The sequence below is a fragment of the Homo sapiens genome, chromosome 17 (assembly GCF_000001405.40).
Source record: "Homo sapiens chromosome 17, GRCh38.p14 Primary Assembly".
In the NCBI taxonomy this organism is placed as follows: Eukaryota; Metazoa; Chordata; class Mammalia; order Primates; family Hominidae; genus Homo; species Homo sapiens.
The window spans coordinates 68,539,436-68,551,759 of record NC_000017.11 but is presented as its reverse complement, the minus strand read 5'-3'; the positions used below and the strand labels follow the sequence as shown (position 1 = coordinate 68,551,759).

At 46.7% G+C, this 12,324-nt stretch overlaps 2 protein-coding genes across 12 annotated transcripts in view; one reads left to right on the top strand and one right to left on the bottom strand.

Moving 5' to 3' along the window:
- Window positions 1–12,324, top strand: part of FAM20A (FAM20A golgi associated secretory pathway pseudokinase) — a 66,252-nt gene that overhangs the window by 49,608 nt on the left and 4,320 nt on the right. For 3 of the 11 annotated variants that reach the window (NM_017565.4, NM_001243746.2, XM_006721959.4), the window contains 5 exons: window positions 8,039–8,131; window positions 8,951–9,066; window positions 9,595–9,775; window positions 10,802–10,911; window positions 11,794–11,875. In NM_017565.4, the coding sequence (NP_060035.2) occupies window positions 8,039–8,131; window positions 8,951–9,066; window positions 9,595–9,775; window positions 10,802–10,911; window positions 11,794–11,875 (582 nt within the window). The other 8 variants (XR_002958041.2, XR_934487.4, NR_027751.2 and 5 more) reach the window with 8 other exon arrangements.
- The window catches only part of PRKAR1A (protein kinase cAMP-dependent type I regulatory subunit alpha), a 137,694-nt gene continuing 125,813 nt past the window's right edge, over window positions 444–12,324 (bottom strand). The window contains exon 10 of the mRNA NM_001276290.1: window positions 444–676. Coding sequence (NP_001263219.1) covers window positions 636–676 — 41 coding nt within the window. The 3' untranslated portion in view covers window positions 444–635. The remainder of the gene's footprint in view (window positions 677–12,324) is intronic.

The window sequence follows — 12,324 nt, the reverse complement described above, 5'->3', positions numbered from 1 at the left end:
CTAATCTGCCCAAGCACAGAACTGTTTGGGGTGATAATAATAATAATAATAATAATAATAATAATAATAATTGAAAATACTAAGAGCTTGTCTTTTTCAGGCCCTTACTATCATCTATGCCACACAATGACCTAAGTTGTGTCCTTGGTTCACGGGCAAGCTTATGAGCCAGATACTCTTACAATGTCCACTTTACAAATAAAGATACTGAGGCTGAAAGAGACCATCTCATCCCAATCTTCCAGCTGCAAACAGCAGACCCAGGATTCAAACCCAGGCATCTGGGTTGCTAAGTTCACACTCCACCACTTTAATTGATCCATACTTTTTTCCAGGGAAAGCACTCTCTTTTTGACATCAAAAAGTTTACGGACTTGTATACCACAATACTTGTTTCAACTGAAAAACTAGACAATCAAGAAAGGCTACTAGGAAGTCAATTACATGTTTACATTAATTTATATTTTATTCATAACAACAGCAACTACATGCCTTGAAAATTTTGTGAAACATAGAGATGAGTGAAATAATATGTATTGAGTCCTTAGACAGAGCTTGGTGTGAGTTTGGGTTTCTGGCCCCCAAAGGATCTGCAGCCCACAGGTTAGGGTCTCCTAGAGTTCGGCCCCAGTGCCTTAGCCCAGGGGAATGCTCCTCCTTGAGATGATGAGGTGACCTGCAGAAAAGAAAATCGCCCCAAGAGGGGCCACGTTACCCAAGTCATGCTTTCCTCCAGAATGTGCTTCTTCCAGTGGAATACAATTAGACTGGCAGATTCCAAACCTTCAGCCATTCAAGGGGAGGCCCATTGAGAGCCCCAGTAGATGGTTCTAAGGGCAGGGCCTACTTGAATAAGCACCGAATAAAGAGTTTCAGTCCCAACTGCTTTGGCGAAAGCACCTCCTTAAAGAAGGGGTTGGAGTGGATCAGCTGCATGTTAGATTCACTTAAGGAGGCTTTAAAAATCCTTATGCCTGAGTCCCACCCTCAGGGAGTCCAGTGGACTAGCTCTGGGGGCTCTCCCCGTGATCCCAAGGCCCAGGCAACCTTGAGAACCACTGCCGTATAAAGAGTTCCTCTGCTGGGCACGATGGCTCACACCTGTAATCCCAGTACTTTGGTAGGCCAAGGCGGGTGGATCACCTGAGGTCAGGAGTTCGAGACCAGCCTGGCCATCATGGTGAAACCCCATCTCTACCAAAAATACAAAAATTATCCAGGTATGGTGGTGCGTGTATGCAGTCCCAGCTACTCGAGAGGCTGAGGCAGAAGAATCTCCTGAACCCAGGAGGAGGAGGTTGCGGTGAGCTGAGATCGCACCACTGCACTCCAGCCTGGGCAACAGAGGGAGACTCTCTATCTTAAAAAAAAAAAAAAAAAAAAAAAAAAAGTTCCCCCATTTTTCCTATGTGAAAGATCCAAAATCCTAGTTGTTAGATCAACTTAAAATTCTCCAGAAATGTACATGAGACAATTGAATGTCTGCTTATATTTATATTGATTTTAAAATCCCATCATATAAAACAGTATATAGATTTAGAAATATTGCTTTTGTTCTCCCACTGTAGATTTTACTTGTCAAAAATTTGGGGAATTGGTTGTCATCATCACTTAGAGTCAAGTTGGGGGTGAATGTCAAATCAATATTAACTTATTTCCCCACTCCCCTCCCCCATCACCACCATCAACCCGTTGTAACCGGTTACACTAGGCAGTAAAACCAGCGCAAAGTCAAGTCATTCCAGGTTAATGTATCTGTCCCAAACAAAACAAAGTGGTTGGCTAACTATGCCAGGACTGAATATAGAGACTCCTTTCCAAGGGACAATTTCAGGAGAGACCTCATCTTGTATTCAGACATATAGGGTACTAAAATATGTAAATAAATACATTGTGTTCCTTTGAAATGAGAGCTATAACAGCAAATACACATGGCAATTAGCAGAGGTTCCACAAGTAGACATGTGACTCTTTGGCACAATGCTCAGCTGAACACAAGAGTCACCAGTGAGGTTCTGGTTGTCATAGAGTTTAAATTATTGTTACAGTTAGTCGAGCACATATAATATATACTCAAAAGACAGCCCCAGTTAGAGAGAGGCAACCTAAGGAATACTGATAGAGAAACAGGAGATGTTAATGAGAAGCATAAAAGTAATGATAAATCTGCAAACGCACCACAAATCACCAGGTCCATAGATTCTGTTCTCCGAGCAAAATTTTTATGTGGCACAATAGGATGTCTCTAACTTTTTTTTTTTTTTTGAGATGGAGTTTTGCATTTGTTGCCCAGGCTGGAGTGCAGTGGCGCTATCTCGGCTCACTGCAACCTCGGCCTCCCAGGTTCAAGCAATTATCCTGCCTCAGCCTCCCAAGTAGCTGGGATTATAGATGTGTACCACCACACCTGGCTAACTTTGTATATTTAGTAGAGACAGGGTTTCACCACGTTGGCCAGGCTGGTCTTGAACTCCTGACCTCAGGCGATTCCCCTGTCTTGGCCTCCCAATGTGCTGGGATTCCAGGCGTGAGCCAATGCACCTGGCCGGATGCCTTTCATTTTTTAAAACTGGAAGCTAATATGCAATGGATGAGCTCCACTCTCAGTTCTTTTGTATCAGGGAGGAAAAACTGCTAGAACCTGTAGCATTTCCTTTGCAGGAAAATAAATTAACATAACTCACAGCCTAATACATCTCTGCCTGGTCAGTTAAAACAAATACAGGCAGGCTGGGCACGGTGGCTCACGCCTGTAATCCCAGCACTTTGGGAGGCTGAGGCGGGCAGATCACGAGGTCAGGAGATCAAGACCATCCTGGCTAACACGGTGAAACCCCGTCTCTACTAAAAATACAAAAAATTAGCCGGGCGTGGTGGTGGGTGCCGGTAGTCCCAGCTGCTCGGGAGGCTGAGGCAGGAGAATGGCGTGAACCCGGGAGGCGGAGCTTGCAGTGAGCCAAGATCGAGCCACTGCACTCCAGCCCAGGCGACAGAGGGAGATTCTGTCTCAAAAAAAAAAAAAAAAAAAAAAAAATATACAGGCATAGCTCGCTGTATCTGCGTTTCACTTTATTGTACTTTGCAGATACTAGGTTTTTTACAAAGTGAAGGCTTGTGGCAACCCTGCATCAAGCAAGTCTATCGGTGTCATTTTCCCAACAGCATGTGCCCACTTTGTGTCTCTGTGTCACATTTGGTAATTCTCACAATATTTCAAACTTTTTTTTTTTGAGACAGAGTCTCACTCTGTTGCCCAGGCTGGAGTGCAATGGTTCAATCTCAGCTCGCTGCAACCTCTGCCTCCTGGGTTCAAGCGATTCTCTTGCCTCAGCCTTCCAAATAGCTGGGACTAAAGGCGCTGCCCACCACACCTGGCTAATTTTTGCATTTTTAGTAGAGACGGGGTTTCACCGTGTTGGCCAGGCTGGTCTCGAACTCTCGACCTCAGGTGATCCGCCCACCTCAGCCTCCCAAAGTGCTGGGATTATAGGCGTGTGCCACCATGCCCAGCTAATTTTTTCTATTTTTAGTAGAGACGGGGTTTCACTGTGTTGGCCAGGCTGGTCTCGATCTCCTGGCCTCAAGTGATTGCCAACCTTGGCCTTCCAAAGTGCTAGGATTACAGGTGTGAGCCACTGCACCTGGCCTAAATGTGTGTTCTGACTGCTCCAACAACTTGCTGTTCCCCCAATCTCTCCCAGTCCTCAGGCCTCCCTATTCCCTAAGACACAACAATATTGAAATGAGGCCAGTTAGTAACCCAACAAGGGCCTCTAAGTGTTCACATGAAAGGAGGAGTGTCATATCTCTCACTTTAAATGGGAAGCGAGAAATTATTCAGGAGGCTAGTAAGGAAGGCACGTTGAAAGCCAATAAGCCAAAAGCTAAGCTTTTTGTGCCAGTCAGGCAAGTTGTGAATGCAAAGGAAAAGTTCTTGAAGGAAGCTAAAAGCGCTGCTCCACTAAACACGAATGATAAGAAAGCAAAACAGCCTCACTGCTGATACGGAGCAAGTTTAAGTTATCTGGATAGAATATTAAACCAGCCACAGCATTCCCTTAAGCCAAAGCTTAATCCAGAGCAGGGTTCTAACTCTCCTCAATGAAGGCTGAGACAGGTGAGAAAGCTGCAGAAGAAAACTTGGAAGATAGCAGAGGTTAGTTCACCAGGCTTAAGGAAAAAAGCCATCTCCATAACATAAAAGTACAAGGTGAAGCAGTAAGTGCTGATGGAGAAGCTGCAGCAGGTTATCCAGAAGATCTAGCTAAGATCATTGATGAACGTAGCTACACTAACAATAGGTTTTCAGTGTAGATGAAACAGCCTTCTATTGGAAGAAGATACCATCTGGGACTTTCCCCATAGCTAGAGAAGAAAAGTCAATGCCTGACTTCAAAGATTCAAAGAACACACATGTATACATATGTAACAAACCTGCATGTTGTGCACATGTACCCTAGAACTTAAAGTATAATAAAAAAATAATAATAATAATGATAAAGATTCAAAGGACAGGCTGACTCTCTTGTTAGGTGATAATGTCGCTGGGAACTTAAGTTGAAGCCAATGCTCAATTACCATTCAAAACATCCTCAGGCCCTCAAGAGTGATGCTAAATTTTACTCTGCCTGTGCTCTAAATGGAGCCTCAAAGCCTGGATGACCACACATCTGTTAACAGCATGGTTTACTGAATATTTTAAGCCCACTGTTGAGACCTTACTGCTCAGGGGAAAAAGAAAAAAAAAAAGATTCCTTTCAAAATATTACTGCTCATTGGTAATACACCTAGTCACTCAAGAGCTCTGCTGGAGATGTCCGAGGAGACTAATGTTGTTTTCATGCCTGCTAACACAACATCCATTCTGCAGCCCACAGATCAAGGAGTCATTCTAACTTTCAAGTCTTACCTTTTTTTTTTTTTTTTTTTTGAGCCGTAGTCTCGCACTCTCGCCCAGGCTGGAGTCCAGTGGCTCAATCTCAGCTCACTGCAAGCTCCACCTCCCGGGTTCACGCCATTCTCCTGCCTCAGCCTCCCGAGTGGCTGGGACTACAGGCGCCGGCCACCATGCCCGGATAATTTTTTGTATTTTTAGTAGAGACAGGGTTTCACCGTGTTAGCCAGGATGGTCTTGATCTCCTGACCTCGTGATCCGCCCGCCTCGGCCTCCCAAAGTGCTGGGATTATAGGCGCGAGCCACCACGCCCAGCCAAGTCTTACAATTTAAGAAATACATTTCATAAGGCTATAGCTGCCACAGTTAGTGATTCCTCTGATGAACCTGGGCAAGGTCATTTGAAAACTTTCTGGAAAGGAGTCTCCATTCTAGATGCCATTAAGAAAATTTGTGATGCGTGGAAGGAGGTAAAAATATCAACATTAACAGGAGTTTAAAAGAAGATTGATCTCAATCCCCATGGATGACTTTGAGGGGTTCAAGACTTCAGTGGAGAAGGTAACTGCAGATGTGGAAATAAAAGAGAACTAGAATTAGAAGTGGAGTCTGAAAATGTGACTGAATTGTTGCAACTGCATGATCAAACTTGAACAGATAGAGTTGCTGCTTTTTTTTTTTTTTTTTTTTTTTTTTTGAGATGGAGTCTCGCTCTGTTGCTCAGGCTGTAGTGCAGTGGCACAATCTCGGCTCACTGCAACCTCTGCCTCCTGGGTTCAAACAATTCTCCTGCCTCAGCCTCCCAAGTAGCTGGGACTACAGGCATGCGCCACCATGCCTGGCTAATTTTTTGTATTTTTAGTAGAGACAGGGTTTCACCGTGTTAGCCAGGATGGTCTCAATCACCTGACCTCGTGATCCACCTGCCTCAGCCTCCCAAAGTGCTTGGATTACAGGCATGAGCCACCGCACCCGACCAATAAGGAGTGGCTTCTTATGGATAAGCAAAGAAAGTGGTTTCTTGAGATAGAATCTACTTCTGGTGAAGACGCTGTGAACATTGTTGAGATGGCCACAGAGGATTTAGAATATTATGCAAACTTAGTTGATAAAGCAGCAGCAGGGTTTGAGAGGACTGACTTCAATTTTGACAGAAGTTCTACTTTGGGTAAAATGCTATCAAACAGCATTGCGTGCTACAGATACATCTTTTGTGAATCGATGCAGCAAACTTCATTATTGTCTTATTTTTAAAAGTTGCCACAGCCTCACCAACCTTCAGCAACCACCACCCCAGTCAGTCAGCAAAAAGATTATGACTTGCTGAAGGCTCAGAAGAGTGTTAGCATTTTTTAGCAATAAAGTGCTTTTTCCATTAAGATGTATACATTTTTCAGACATAATGCTATTGCATATTTATTGGACTCCAGTATAATGAAACGTAACTTTTATATGCCTTGGGTGGGGAACCAAAAAATGTGCATGAATGACTTTATTGCCATATTTGCTTCATTGTGGTGGTCTAGAAGCAAACCTGCAATATCTCCGAAGTGTGTCTATACAAAAATTGTTCCAACTAGCCAGCTTTTTTCCGAAATACAATGCAAAACCCTCCAACATTCAGTGACAGGACCAATTTTATCTATTTTCATACCATAACACAGTGTAATCTACATTTTTATAAAATTCAGTCCCAAATCTAAAATACTATCATTTTAAAATGTATCTCTTGAAAAATTATGCGCTTTGTATTTTTCTGTAAGTAATTTAAGGCGAACACCATTTTTTTCTGATTAAAGAGAGAATGTAGAACTTTAACTTTGGAAAATATACATTAGGAACATAAAGATTTATATTTTTAAAATGTAATGTATACAATATAATGTGCAATGAGACGTGCATTAGTGCTTCTCAAAGTATGAGAAGCACTGATCTAAAGTAAAAACAACCTTTGAATTTAAAATTACTTCTTATCTTACATCATACAAAAATGAGAAAATGTTTTAGAAGAACCTAAAAGGTGTCTGAAAGATGATATGTTCCTACAGATGGGACTCAGGAATTAAAATGAGACTGGGAAGAGGGATTGTCCTTGCTAGCCTGGACATCCAGTGATGATGATAAGCTGGCCAGGCCTGAGCACGGAGGGTTGTGCTGTAACGGTGGCTGCACCTTTTAAAATAGAATCTCTACTTTTGGCAGCACCTCACTGTGGTTTCCAGGACTCACTCGTGTTTTTTGGCAAAATGCACAACACGGTTTAAATTGCCAGTGCTTCTTATTTATAGATTTCTGCAACATCACGTTTATTTACATCTAAATCGCCTTGCAGTCGTTTCAACAGTCCCACACAGTGGATTATAAAATTATTCGAAGATCATCATTCTTCCATGTTTATTAGCCTCGAGGCAAAGTCAGCCTAGAGGCCAGAACTCACACCACAAGGCCCTTAAGGATTAAAAAGCACTTTCATGAATGTACACACCCAGCAGGCCCCACCACTCTCAGGCAGCCTGGCGCTTTTCAGGAATTCATTAGAGATTTAATGTATATAAATCAATATCCTCTGCACCAGCTGCCCCCAGCCCTCATGATCCGGCTGTGTTTCTCTGAGGGGATGATGGTCCACGTATTTCCCCCACATCCCCCTAAGACCCAGAACTTTTCTGTTCTTCAACCCCAGCATACTAAGTTGCATTTCTGGGCCACTTTTCCATTACCAATTCCTGGCTCATACCCCACCTTTCTTCATCCTTGGACATCTGGATCTGCACTACCTCTGGTTCTGCTAACCATTCCCCTCTCTTCTGTTTATACCTGCAGAAGAATGTCTATTTCTTCCCTCTCAACTGCTGGGTTTTGAAAATAATCAGCCACTGTCACCAAAGCTTCTTAAGCAGGAAACTTGGTATTGGTGGTGCCTGCAGGACAGTGTCTTGCAAGAAGCCTGTCTCCTCCCACTTTGCTTGTCTTCTCCTGGCGAAGGGAGCCACAGGCCATTCCTGACTTGCCGTGCCATCGCCTGTGTGTACATGAAAAGCATAAAAGCCCGTTTTCCTTTCTCGCTGGTCATGCTCATCAGCTCTCTTCTCAGGCTCCCAGCTGAAGTCTGAGTCCAGGGCGTGATTCCTTCCTTCCTTCCAGACAGCAGCGAGATGAGGAGACACCAGTGGACTTCTTCTACTTCATTGACTTTCAGAGACACAATGCTGAGATCGCAGCTTTCCATCTGGACAGGTAGGGTCTGGCCCCATGGAGATGGCATTGCCTATAAGGACCAATCCTCTGGGAGGGGTGGCTAGACAGACCCTCAAGGTGGGAACTCCCTGGCATTTCTTCCTTCTGGCTTTCTATCTTCTTCGTGCCTCATCGTGGTGTCTTTGAACTCAAAATGTCCCATGCAACCCCCCAGATTGAAAAACACAAGGCCTTTTAACGAATGTAACGAAAAGAACAATTTACAAAGAACACGCTTCCCGCCATGCTGCTTGGGGCAGTTGCTCTAGTTTCCTGATCTGAGAGCGAGGAGAATGCACCCACTCCTATTTATCCAAGGAGTCTCACTGTTATGATATTAGGTGAAAGCACATTCCTAAACATTCCACTCCCTCTATTTGCTCAGTCATTGCTACCCAAAGTGTGGTCTGTAGCGTCATGGGCACTTCCAAGAAGCTTTTTAGAAATAAGAAATCTCAGCCCCACCCTAGAACCACTCAATCAGACCCTGTATTTGAACAAGATTGCCAGGTGACTCACAGGAACATTAAAATATGAGAAGCACTGACCAAGAACAGAGTTGGGATGGTGGGAAGGTTTGCCCAGGAGGCTTGACGGAATAAGGATTCATTTTCAACTCCATCTCCACTCCTTTAGACCTAGGTTTAAAGGCCCAGTGTTGACCTGGGCACTACCAGCTCAACAGTGCAGAGTCACGCCTCACCGGCCACCCTCCTGGGTACACCAGCCAATTCCTAATGTGCACTGGCCGGGGGACAAAACCCCTCCTCCTCACTCCCTGATCATCCCTCAGATGGAACAGAGCTTCCTCTCTTGCAGGATTCTGGACTTCCGACGGGTGCCGCCAACAGTGGGGAGGATAGTAAATGTCACCAAGGAAATCCTAGAGGTCACCAAGAATGAAATCCTGCAGAGTGTTTTCTTTGTCTCTCCAGGTAGAGTACTGGCCCGAGTGATATTCCGGGTCTGAGTAGATCGTAAGCCAGAGTGTCCACCCCTCCATTCATCAGTGGCCTGACACCCTGCTGCTAGCACTATCCATTACTGGGATGGGCGTATGAAGTTGTAAGACACTCCCACCATGGTCTGCCTGACCATAACACAAGATGAACTGGATGGGAAAGGTTGTGTTTGAGATGCTACCTAGTCTGTGTGGGCATTGACCCTACAATGCTGGCCTCCCCGGAACCAGAGGTTATCCACCCAGGGTAATAAAGAGTGTTCTACTCATAAGGATAGAATGCAGTAAGGTTGGGACATTTGAAAGCAGGTTCCCAGGAGGTTCAGCTTAGTAGCATTCACACCCTCACTTCTGGAAAAGTCAATGTTTCCTTCTTCTTCTTTCTCTTCCCGAGCTGTGAGTTCAGGGTTTCCCTTCCCTCCCAGTGGATTTCCTAGGCCAGGAAGATGTCATGCCTCCAGAGCCCTCCACTTACTCCTCCTCTCTCCTCCCCATCCTCCAGCGAGCAACGTGTGCTTCTTCGCCAAGTGTCCATACATGTGCAAGACGGAGTATGCTGTCTGTGGCAACCCACACCTGCTGGAGGGTTCCCTCTCTGCCTTCCTGCCGTCCCTCAACCTGGCCCCCAGGCTGTCTGTGCCCAACCCCTGGATCCGCTCCTACACACTGGCAGGAAAAGAGGAGTGAGTTGGTCCCCAGGCCACACAGCCCAGTCCTTGACAGTAGCCACAGACCCTGTACCAGGGACTTGTTGCTAGCTTGGCTTTTGAATCTGAAAAGCTGCCTCAATACTCCTTTGCCCCATTTCATATTGATCCTGGGATCAGCAGGCCTGGGTCTGTTCTCCCCTTTAGTTCATTTATTCAGTTCTAAAGAACCTTCCATATACCCAACACTAGGTGTTATGGGATACAGAAATGGAAGACTCAGACTCTCTCCTTGAGAAGCTCCTTGGTCTAGTGGGGAGAACAGACATGTAGCCAGATCACGAAAACACAGCACAGCACTTGCTATAACCAGGGAGCACACGAGAATCCCATGGGAGGGACACCTGGTTCCCGAGCAAGCCCTGGGAGACCAAGGACCTCACTGCTGTATCCCCAGGACCTAGCACCCTCCCTGGCACATAGCAGGTACTCCACACTAGCTGACTGAGTGAATCGATCCATCAGTCAAGCCGTCATGATCATCGTGGGAAAAGAAGTAACCAGGCAGAATTTCTGGAGGACATGACAGATCCTAAGGGACTCTGTGAAGGCTGAGAAGAGCCCTCGGATGAAAATGGGCATCGGAGCATTGTAGGCAGAAAACCATGTGTGAGAGAGAAAGGGCAGGAACAGCCCATGGAGGTGCTATGAGTGGCGCAGGGTCCAAGAGGCTTGGTGAGAGGGACTGTGGAGGGACGAGGAAGCAGGTGAGGGTCACTACCTCCTCCTTTCCTGCCTGCCCCGGCCTCTCCCCTCTGGCACACAGTATCCCAACCATGGGTTTAGTGTCCACCAGACTTAAAGGACCCAGGACCTTCTCACCACACGGAATATGCAGCCTTACGCGTCCTTGCCCAGGGCCTTTCTGAATTTTAGAAGCTGCCACCAGCCCAGGGCAGGATCAGGGAGGCAGGGATTGGGGGGGCAGGGGGAGGTGTGGGGAGACCCCCGACACCCTGCCATCTTGGCTTTTCCAGCCCCAGGACTTCTTCTCCCCCTCAGGTGGGAGGTCAATCCCCTTTACTGTGACACAGTGAAACAGATCTACCCGTACAACAACAGCCAGCGGCTCCTCAATGTCATCGACATGGCCATCTTCGACTTCTTGATAGGTAGGTCCCCACACGCAGGCCCCCAGCAGAAGTGGGCTCTGCTATGTGGCTAGGGTTCCCCGTGACCTTGAGCACAAACTTACAACCTGGTTCATGAGGACTGAGTAACTCTGCACCTCCCACAGCCTCAGAAGTGGCGGAGGTCCCAGAGGACAGAAGGTAACAGGCTCCCCTCTCTTCAAAGAACTGGAAGAAGCTCAAGGGGTCGTCACTCATAAGGCAGGCATCTCACCCTGCCACGGGCCTGAGTGGGCGTCAGATTGGAAGCTGTATGTTCACTTCACCAAGTGAGGGGAAACCAGGTAGGAAGGGAAGAAAGTACACAAATATGTAGCAGGGAGGGCCTCAGGCGAGGCCACGGACACACAAGACTAGTAATTCCACCTTCCAGGCCCACAGGGACTTCTAGGGAGACGAGACACTTATGAAGGTGGCCGTCATACAGGAGCTTAGGTCGGAAGCAAGTCAGACAGCTGGCTCATCATCGTGCCTTTCAGGAAGTTTAGCTGTGTCTGTTTACTATAACCAGGATCAGCTGAGGATCTCTGGGCTGAGGAAAGCCAATGTCAATACATACACGAGGTGAAAAGATGACTTTCTGCACATTCAAATCTCTGGCCAAAGGCTGGAGTAGGGGCAGGGGCAGGGGTGAAAGCCTTAGACTTGAAGCCAGTCCATTTAGGGTTTGCTTGTTTCGCTTCCTTCTCCCTCCTGCGGCTGCTTCACTGATGGCCCTGAGGAAATGACAGTGTGAGGCCCAGCTTCGTTCACACCCCTGTCTCTCAAGTGATGACAGGCCTCCGTTCCCTGGAGAGAACTCAGGTCAGGAGCACCTGTCCCCCTGGCCTGCTGGTTCCAGCTAAGTCCTCCCCTCCTTCACAGGGAATATGGACCGGCACCATTATGAGATGTTCACCAAGTTCGGGGATGATGGGTTCCTTATTCACCTTGACAACGCCAGAGGGTGAGCTTCCCCACGTGTGTTCAACAATCCCCTCTCCCAGATGTGCTGCTCTGTGCAGCCAGCTGCTCGGGGGAAACAGACGCCCTGCAAATGAGGGCCTCCACCACCACGTGCCTTGTCTCCTTCGAGCCCGGCTTCTTCCATTTCCTTCTTTCTCTTTACCTTTGCAAGAACCACTTGATCCTCCTCCAGCCTGAGAGCACTCGTGTGCCCTCTAGTGAAATAGGGTGAGGTTTTCGAGAGCAAGGTGCATCCTCAGTGGCTGGCCCTCTGCAGCTAGTGAATGAATGAAGGATTGCTTAGCTCTAACATCTCTGTACAGATGCTTTTGTGATCTGACTGGGGAGAGGGGCTGGAGAGGCAGCTGCCATGATCCCTGGCATTTTACCCCAATCTCTGATTCACAAAATGCTGAGAGGAGAGAGGAAGCCTCAGGGGAATGCAAAGGA